The sequence below is a fragment of the Homo sapiens genome, chromosome 3 (assembly GCF_000001405.40).
Source record: "Homo sapiens chromosome 3, GRCh38.p14 Primary Assembly".
Taxonomy (NCBI): domain Eukaryota; kingdom Metazoa; phylum Chordata; class Mammalia; order Primates; family Hominidae; genus Homo; species Homo sapiens.
This window is the reverse complement of record NC_000003.12, coordinates 45,265,202-45,274,923: the sequence shown is the minus strand read 5'-3', so window position 1 is coordinate 45,274,923 and position 9,722 is coordinate 45,265,202. Positions and strand designations below refer to the sequence as shown.

Here is a 9,722-nt window from a genome sequence, read left to right as displayed (position 1 = left end):
AGATTTTAGAACAAGGATGTCATAAGTCACACATCAACTAAGGCTATGTGAATGTGTTGGGCAGAAACAAAGGCTGAAGTAGCTATTCATATTTTCTACCATGTATGTATTTTAGTTCTTTTTGTTCCTTTACCTATTCCCCTACTGTTTTTATGATTTATTCCCCAGGTAATAGACTACCAGAATGGGATTACAATGGACTCAGAGGAGAAATATGTATCACCCGGACGTAATCTGGCTTTAGAGCCTGATGCAGTACCTGATGATAGTTTGAACTGACTACCTGACCTCTAGACTCCCTGTTATATAGAATATGATTCTTCCTTATTCTTTAAGCTACCTGAACTCAGAGAGTTACTGATGGCCAAACACATCTTAACTGATACACGTATGCTCCACTAAGTAAATGAAGTTAAGTCAATTACACTTGGGACAGTGCTTGGCACATGGGATCCTTCTCACTGTGAATTCTGGGATATGGTTGCAACTGTCTATTCCGCAGTGGGAGAAGTCAGTGGGGGCTTCAGTGCTCAGGGAGGTTTCATGGAGGAGGAGGTCAGGTGTGATGTTCAGCCTGGTTATGCTGAACATCATGCTCAGCATGATGGGAAGAGTCATGCTGTTGGGCAGACCTCTGATTAGAGCCATGGCAATTGTACAACAAAGGCAGACTGACCTGAACGAAGGACAAGGCAGCAATCTTGAGCATGTGCCTCTATGAGAGGGGCTGTGGGTAGTGCAAGCTCAATGTGGAAGGAGAAAGAAGGAATTAGTCAAGTTTATGCCTTTGCTTCTTCATTAGTCATGAGGAATGCTCCCTGCATAGAAGAATCAGAAGTAAAGCAAGAATGAGTTGCTACCATATGTGGTTTCCCTCTGCCCTTGGGATACATAGAAAATAATGTTTTGCTATGAACTAATGACTTGACCATTTTGGCCTTCAAGAGATAGTGGCAGCAGTAGATACAGTTGCTGTCTCATCAGTATCTCTTTACCAGGCCACCACACCCATCCCCCATCTGCAGTGCATGCTGACTGCTAATGACACAGCTGTTTCTTTCTCCAGAGACTTCCTTCTCCAGAGCCACCTCATCCTGAAAAGCCTGAGAGGTTACGTCCTCCCCTAAGGGGAGCCCACAGCCAGTGATGACTGACATGGGGACCTAAAGGCCAAAGGGCTTCCCTGCAGTTGGGACAACTGCATGTGAGCTCCCCACGGGATCAGGCTGAGTTAGACTTCAGCTGAAGCTATATGTTTGCCCAGCTTCTTCTCTGCCCCATTCTAACTCCTCAGTCCCTTACAGGTTTTATCTGGGAGCAGTCCCCCAGTCAATCCTTTTCTCAAGCTCCATTTCTGAGGAAACTAACCCAAGGCACTGCCTCTGGGGCTGTCGAAGGAGGTGATTTCTGCAGAAGAGAGTAATGGAGCTGGCTTTCTGCTTCTTGACCCCTTGCTAATCCCAACACTTTACTGTTTCTGTCGGGCCAGCTCTGTGGGCATTTGAGAAGACTCCGGGGACTACATCAGTTTGATAACCAGGCCTCAGGCCAAGAGGAAATTCAGCATACATCTGCCCACTGCCAGGCTCAACCCACACTACTGCAAGCCTTTGGAGGAGCAGGTGAGCTCATTAAATCCATCTGTGCTGCCTTCCAGCACAGCAGGTATTTTTAACTACATGGCAACTACTGTATCCCTGGGCACCTTGAGTGAGGGCCCGTGACTCACCTGCAAGATTGGCAAGATGTGCCAAAGGGCATCCTTGTTATATTTAGCTAGGACTGTTTTCAGAAGATTTAGGGTTGGGATAAAAAAAAAGTTTCTTGGTTCCAGCTTGTGCTGAGCAACGCACTGAGCCTGAAGCCCAGGGCTGGAGTGGCCTGGCTGAGGCTATTCCTGTTCTCCACTGGCTCCACCGAGGACACCAGGGCAAGTGAAAGGGGGAGGCTGAGTAGCTCAGCAGTACTTCCTAAGGGGTCATGGAGAGTCCCCAAAGGGCAGAGAATGCCCCCAGCATGATCACTGGATGTTGGGGGCTCTAGGAGCACAGACGAGCCTGGTGACCATCATTCAGGTTCTAGTTTTTACTTTTACCAACGTTTCCTTGAGCCAGTTACTCTCCCTGTTTCCACCTGTTTTTCCTTTTCTGTAAAATAAAAATAATACCCAGCTCACAAGGTCTCTGGGGAGTGCCATGTAAGGAATGTGTGAAAAGGCTTTGTAAACTGTGAAGTGCTTGTCAGGCAGCCATTATTAGGGGGAGACTAAAAGAGAGTCCTCAGAGTCTCCAGTATTTGCCCTCCCACCTAGGTGGGGCTGGATGACCTAAGCCAGGCAGACACCTGCGGTGCCCTGGGAGAGGAACCACCTCATAGGAAGCAGCTTTTCATTCATGACTTCAGTCACCATATCACTTTGTTCTCACAACTTTTCTGTGGAAAGGTTTTTCTTTAGGGGTGTTTAATTGAGGCCGCCTGTTTTTGTGTGGGCAGCTACATATCCAGACACGACGGGTTAAAGGTGGCCTATGTTTTGATCAGAAAAAAGATGAATTCTGGGCCTGCTCTGCTGTCAAATATCCTCCTCTGTGACCACTAAGGACTCACAGATACACTGTGTTCCAGCAAAGCCCAGATGCCAGTCGGTGTCTGCAGTGCAGGAGGCTGGCTGGGGAGCTGCAGTTTGGTTCACACTGCTCTTCCCAAAGACAGCTATTTAAGGAGAAATTTTTGCCTCTCTGCATATAGTCAGTAAAAGGAAATGTATTTGCATTTCTCGTAAGTCCTGTGAACCAGGAAGATAGGCTCAAGCAATTTTTTCTTTTGGTGAGTTCCCAAAGAAAAGACCTTGTTTTCATTAGCAAGCAAATGTTCAGCCTCTTCTGGGTGTCCAGCCTTATGCTTGGATGTAAGCAGTGTTTAAATAGATGGCAGCACCCTGGTTCTTGATTTACAAACCACTAGAGGAATCAGTACTGGATTTGGAGCTAAAAGACCCTGGCCAAGTTACTCAACCTGTCTGGGACTTGCTTTCCTCATCTTTAAAATGGGAACTGAAAAGATTGTTATGAGGATGAAATACGCTAAGGGGCACTAAGTTAACATAGAGTTTTAAAGCACTCACTTTGATAACTGACAAACTGGACTACATGTTTCTTTATATCTAGGGCCCCAAGATGGCATATGGGATGGGGCTGGTGTTCAGGAAAGTTTGTTTCATGAGTAAATGAATGAATAAATAAATGAATAAAATATAGACAACGAAACCGAGATTCAGATTGGAGAGGTGACTGTCCAAGATTGTTCAGTACTTGTTAAAAAGAGAGGACTCAAACCACATCTTTTAACTTCTATTCATTTTAGAGAATTTTACCAAGATCTTTATTGTCACAAGATTAAGATTAAGCATTACTACTAAAGAATAAACTACAAGCATCCACAAAGCAGGGTATCTTATCTTCTTCGGTACTGTGTGCTAGTTTATTCAATAAATATTGAGAGGCATACTAGTTACTATGGGAGTTGTGACTACTTAAAAGGAGGAAGCATTCTTCCTTTGCAAATTGGTTTGTGGTAGCAAATGATTACCCCCCTCCCAAAAAGCATAAAAGATAGAATTCTAGTAACAGAGTGAGGAATGAATGAAACCAAAAACCTAGAATGCAGTGAGCTGCTTTTGAGAAATAAAACACAAATCTTAATTTCTTGGCAGCCAAAGAAAAGAAGGAAACAGATTACATTAGTGCCCACTTGACTAATATAAGGAGGGACTGCAGGATATCAGTAGGCAAATTCTCTTATCCCTGAGAGGAATCTGTACTGTGTGCTGGTTTATTTGGAGAAGAATTTGTCCAAAAGTATCTGTATAAGGACATTGAATAACTGGGTAGACAGTGTCTTCTACGATAGTGCCAAGACGTTTCTTCCGTGATCCTTTAGCATTTCAATTCTCAAGAAAAGCCAAAGGGGCTTTGGGTTCAAGTTGAAGGCCAAGACATGGTCCCCTCCTCAGCTCCTTTACCTCAACGTTTTTTTTCTTTACTTTATTTATTTATTTATTTATTGAGATAGATTCTCGCTCTGTCACCCAGGCTGGAGTGCAGTGGTGCGCTCTCAGCTCACTGCAACCTCCACCCCCAGGGTTCTAGCAATTCTCCTGCCTCAGCCTCCTGAGTAGCTAGGATTACAGACACCCGCCACCACGCCTGGCTAATTTTTTTGTATTTGTAGTAGAGATGGGGTTTTGCCATATTGGCCAGGCTGGTCTCAAACTCTTGACCTCAGGAGATCCACCTGCCTCGGCCTCACAAAGTGTTGGGATTACGGGTGTGAGCCACCGCGCCAGGCTCCCTCAACATTTCATGGAAAAGTCAGAAGACATGTGTGTGCCTGTGGAATTGTTGGTTTGTGTTTAAGGAATAAAACTATAAAGGTGCTGGAAAACAAGAATGGTAGCCTGTATCGGGCAGAATGTTCCAGAGAATTCTGGAAGATAGAACACACATGAGTTGCAGTTGAGTTGGCAAAGTGAAATAGGCCTGCAGAAGCTTTCTCCCTCAACTCCTATGGAAATGTCAAAAATAGTAAAAAAAATAATAATAATAAATGAGAAAAATATACCAGTAAGAGTCAGACAAGAGCATAATCTAGTGGCATAAGAACTTAAGTGATGACAGAGGAAAAAATAACTCAGAAGATGATGGAGTGCAGTGTACATACCTCCTACATGTGGCTCTGGTGAGTCAGCAGAATCATGACAATTCTACTCATAGCCCACCCCACCTTTCTGGAGAGAAGCGACATTTTCTTTTCCTCTTTCTATTTGGGGTGGGGAGTGGGAGAGAGAGTAAGAGTGGTGGCAGCAGCCACTGAGAAGATAAGGTAAAACTGGGGAGATAATTTCGCAGGTCAAAAGCAAGGGCTTCAGGACTCCACAGTGAATTAGAAGAGTAATCATCCCTGCTCCAGGCTCTCAGGTTACAGAGAAGTAGATAGAACAAAAAGTACTTGTAGGGAAATTGCTCATGGAATATAGACTGCGGTTATAGCTGTCCACATTCAACATGACCAAGTTAACAGGAACAGCATGGTAACAATGAAAACACTTTACAATAAACAAAAGGAAAGACAAGAACAAAACATGCAAAGGATAGTTGAAGATCATATTCTAAAAGAAAACACAACTCAAAAAACAGAAAAGATTCCTCATGAGTGCTATTTCTAACGAGACCATGAATTTAATAAGAGAAGAACTGAGGCTGGGTGCAGTGGTTCACGCCTATAATCCCAGCACTTTGGGAGGCCGAGGCGGGCGGATCATGAGGTCAGGAGTTCGAGACCAGCCTGACCAGCATGGTGAAACCCCATCTCTACTAAAAATACAAAAATTACATGAGCATGGTGGCATGCACCTGTAATCCCAGCTACTTAGCAGGCTGAGGCAGGAGAATCGCTTGAACCGGGAAGGCAAATGTTACAGTGAGCCAGGATTGCACCACTGCACTCCAGCCTGGGTGACAGAGTGAGACTCCGTCTCAAAAATGAATAAATAAATAAAAATTGCCTAATGATTTTTTTTAAAAAAAGAAGAACTGAAAGGTGACTTGATAAGTTGATAGACTGAAATTCAAATAGATCTTTCAGAACTAAGAAAACAAATTGAGGACCAAAACAATACCATTAAGGAATTAATAAAAATATTACAAACAGTAAGAAACAGGAAATAGAAGGCTCAAAATCAAATTGCCATCATAAAGGAAAAACTTGTAACAATCATGGTATGCAAAAAATAAATACAAAGATATTAATGCAATTAGAGAGAAGATAATAAATATGTACAAAGATAAGCCAGTGCAAAGAAAATTGGAATGCCCGTAGAAGTCAACAATTTGAACATCCTAAAATCTTCCTTCTACATGAAAAATATTCTAATGTGCTAAACACACAGGTGCATATCCAGTTGGCTCTCCGTATTCCTGGGTTCCACATCCTTGGATTCAACCAACGGCAGAGTGAAAATATTTGGGAAAAAATACCCCAATACAACAAGAATAATACAAATTCAAGAAGACAATACAGTGTAACAACTATTTATATAGCATTCACATTGTATTAGGTATTATAAATAATCTAGAGATGACTTAAAGTATATGAGACTCCTCTATAAAGTAGGTATATATTTTTAAAAGTATATGGGAGGATGTGTGTAGGTTATATGCAAATACTACCCCATTTTATAGAAGGGACTTGAGCATCCTCGGATTTTGGTATCTGCGATGAGTCCTGGTCAATCCCCCATGGATACCAAGGAACAACTGTGTGCATTGGTTATACACATACCTATATGCATGTGTATATGTACATATATAACCAATCCCCTGAGGATATGGAGGAGATATATGGATAGATAGATATAGATATAGGTATAGGTATATGCAAAATCTTCATAGCAATGAAATGGTCTGCAACAAAGCAAAGTAAGAGAATCACCTGTGATTCAGAAAAGCAGGAGGAACCTGAGCCTTTGAAGGTAAACAAAGACCAAGCCAAAAAGCACTTCACAGCTTGAGATCATCTTTAGGGAAAAGTAGCCTAGGATTTTTTTCATAGGGAAGCAGATAGTAAGGGGAAGAGGTAGGAATGAACAGTAAACCAAGCCTTAGACCTGAGCAGTAATAGATCCAGAGCCACAAAATTTTGCACAAATCCAAGCCTCGGAGGGGGTTACACTTTCAGGAAAGGGTGAAGTTAAGGGTATCCTACCTAGCAGAGGCTGACTTCAAGAAACAGTGACTCAGAATCAGTTCTGGCAGAGGAGGAAAAATGAAAACTTCTCCTGAGATTTGAAGGCAAGTGGCCAACCCTCCTCTAGGTGTGATGTCTGAATGTACACTGAAATATACCAAAATATCCCAAGATAAGAATTTAGAAGAACCTAGGTCCACAGTGCCCAAAGCTCCTGACGGAGGCAATCATGTACGCACAACACAGCCCTCATAAAATTCCTACTGGAAAAGTCCCATCATAAATGAGCTCATAATGTAAAATCAGAAAAGGCCCAAGTAAGCAAGCCATCATGAGTAAGAGTCAAAAGAAAAAAAATTAGAATTATTAAATATAAACTATGATTTTAATACGATTAAGTAAATAACAGAGATAATTTGAAAGTAAGTAAGAAGCAGGAGCTTATAAAAATAAGCAGACATATTAAAAAGAACCAAACAAAGCTTCTGGAAATAAAGAATGTAATAGAAATTAAAATATCTGTAGAAGAGTTGAAAAGCAAAATAGACACAACTGCAGAGAGAACCTGTAATTTCAAACGTAGATCCAAAGAAAATACACAGAATGCAGCTCAGAGACAAAAAGATATGGAAAAGTCTGGTTAAGAAAATTAAATGATGGAGTGAAAAGGTCCAATATAGATCTAATCAGGGCTCCAAAAATAGATAATAGAGAGTGCGATAAGAGGTAATTTTCAAAGATATAAGAGCTGAGGGTTTTGCAGAATTGAGTAAAGACATAAATCCCCATATTTAGAAAGTTTTTGAAACTCCCAGACAGGATAAGTCATAAGGTGGACATACTCAGACACATCGTAGTGAAACTACAGAATGTCAAAGACAAAGGGATGATCTTAAAAGAAACCTGAAGAAAAAAAAGACAGATTACTCACAAAGGAGCCAAGATAGATCAAATTTGACTTCTCAACATCAAACATAGAAGCCAGAAGAGAGTGGAATAATGTCTTCAAAGTGGTGATAGAAATAATTGTCAACTAGATTTATAAGCCTAGCAAAACCATGTTTCTAGAATGAGTAAAATAGAGACATCTTCAGTAACGTAAACAGTAAGAGAGTTTGCCACTGACAAATCCTCACTAAAGAAACATCTAAGTGATGTACTCCAGGAAGAAGTAAAATATCCTAGAATGAAAATCTAGGATCCAAGAAGAATAAGCTGACAGGTGAAAGTGATTTTTCCCACTCCACCAGACCCTCCCTGAATCATTACTTCCTTCCTTCTGCTTTGGAGCAGATTGCCCTTCACTTCCTTGCCCACCTGGAAAATACCTACTCTTCTCCTAGGAATCACTTTTTCTGTGAATCCCTCTCTGGATCCTCACCTAGAACTGATGCCTCTTCCCCTTGAACCTCCACTGAACTTTTGGGATTTTTTGTTTGTTTGTTTTTTGAAACAGGGCCCCACTCTGTCGCCCAGGCTGGAGTGCAATGGCGCGACCTCGGCTCACTGCAGCCTCCACCTCCTGGGCTCAGGTGACCCTCCCACCTCAGCCTCCCGAGTAGCTGGGACTATGGGCACACACCACCATGCCCGATTATAATTTTTGTATTTTTTGTGGAGACAGGGTTTTGCTGTGTTGCCCAAGCTGAGTCTTGAACTCCTGAGTTTGAGCAGTCTGCCCACCTCACCCTCCCAATCCACTGAACTTTCTATGAAGTTTTAGAATACTTTCCTTCACTTATTTATCTATCTTTTTCCCTTCCTACACTGTGATCTTCTTGAGGGAAAACTTTAAGATGAATCTCTATATCCTCGGCTTAGATTATCACTATTAACAATGACTATTTCTTGGTAACGGGAATTTTACATCAACAAGCTCATTATTCTCTAGAGAAAGAAAAAAATCAAATAGGATTCTAAGGCTGATGAAGGATGGAAAAAAAAAACAAAACAGATGACTGCAGCGGGGAACCAAAAGAGGAGTGGAAAATTGGGAACTCTTAGACGTGGTGATACCCGGGGAATGAAACTGGGCACAGGAGAGGAGTGGTGGCAGATGAGTTTTCATTTTAGGCCTTTCTAGTGGTTCAACTTTGTCTCGATCAAGTGTATATGTTTCTTTAATAACCACAACAATAAAAATTTAGCAAATTGTGTAAAACCAATTTAGAGGACATCCTCATGAAGCGGGACCTGTTAAGTAAATTGTAATTTACCCACGCTGTGTATACTGTGCAGCATTGAGAAAGGGAAGGTAGCCTGTACAGAAATGGAAAGAGATCCATGATGTTATGTAAGTGAAGACATTTTAAAAACTAAGTTGATGACCAGTATGGATGTTATGATGCCAATTGTGGTTTTTTAAATCTCTATGAATATGTATATCATCCGACTCAGATCATTTTTTCTTACAAGTGGCAGAGACTCAGCTTTTAAACAAGAAAAGGACATGAATTGGTTCCTACAATTATAAAGTCTGGGGGAAGATCTGGAGCTTTAACTGTAACTCGATCTAGGGGCTCAAAGAGCTCTAGGCTCAGGAAGACAGCACGTTGCCTCCAGAGTACCCCAACAGTTCTGGGATGGAGAGGGTGGCCCAGCTTGCATATGGGCTGGGGGAGGGGGATGCTCTTGGGACCAGGCCTGGGCCATATCCCAACCCTTGTCCCAGGAGGTGGGGTCGGTCTCCCTCAGTTGAGTCTCACAGACTAAGCAAAAATGTGAGCTGGATGGGTGGTGGTCCCCAAAGAAATTGGGTTATTGTTTCCAGGGGAAGGTAGAATCGATTTTGGATGGATTAACTCAACTGATGTCTACCATATACACATACGTCACTTTATCTTATATGACTGGGAAAAGCTCTGGAAGGAGACACTTAAGCTTGGATTAGTGGAGAGGAGCAAGTCCCCTTTTTGAGAGGCTTACACAAACCCAGGGAATTACACATTACTGTACCCCTGACACTGTTCCTTTCCAGG

General features: G+C 42.0%; 1 annotated feature.

Moving 5' to 3' along the window:
- Nucleotides 580–1,779: an enhancer, noted in NCBI's record as "MED14-independent group 3 enhancer chr3:45314637-45315836 (GRCh37/hg19 assembly coordinates)". NCBI's record gives its function as "activates an origin of replication core promoter dependent on BRD2, BRD4, P300/CBP and CDK7 cofactors, and independent of MED14, by STARR-seq in HCT116 cells {active_cell/tissue: HCT116}" and the evidence as "EXISTENCE:reporter gene assay evidence [ECO:0000049][PMID:35650434]".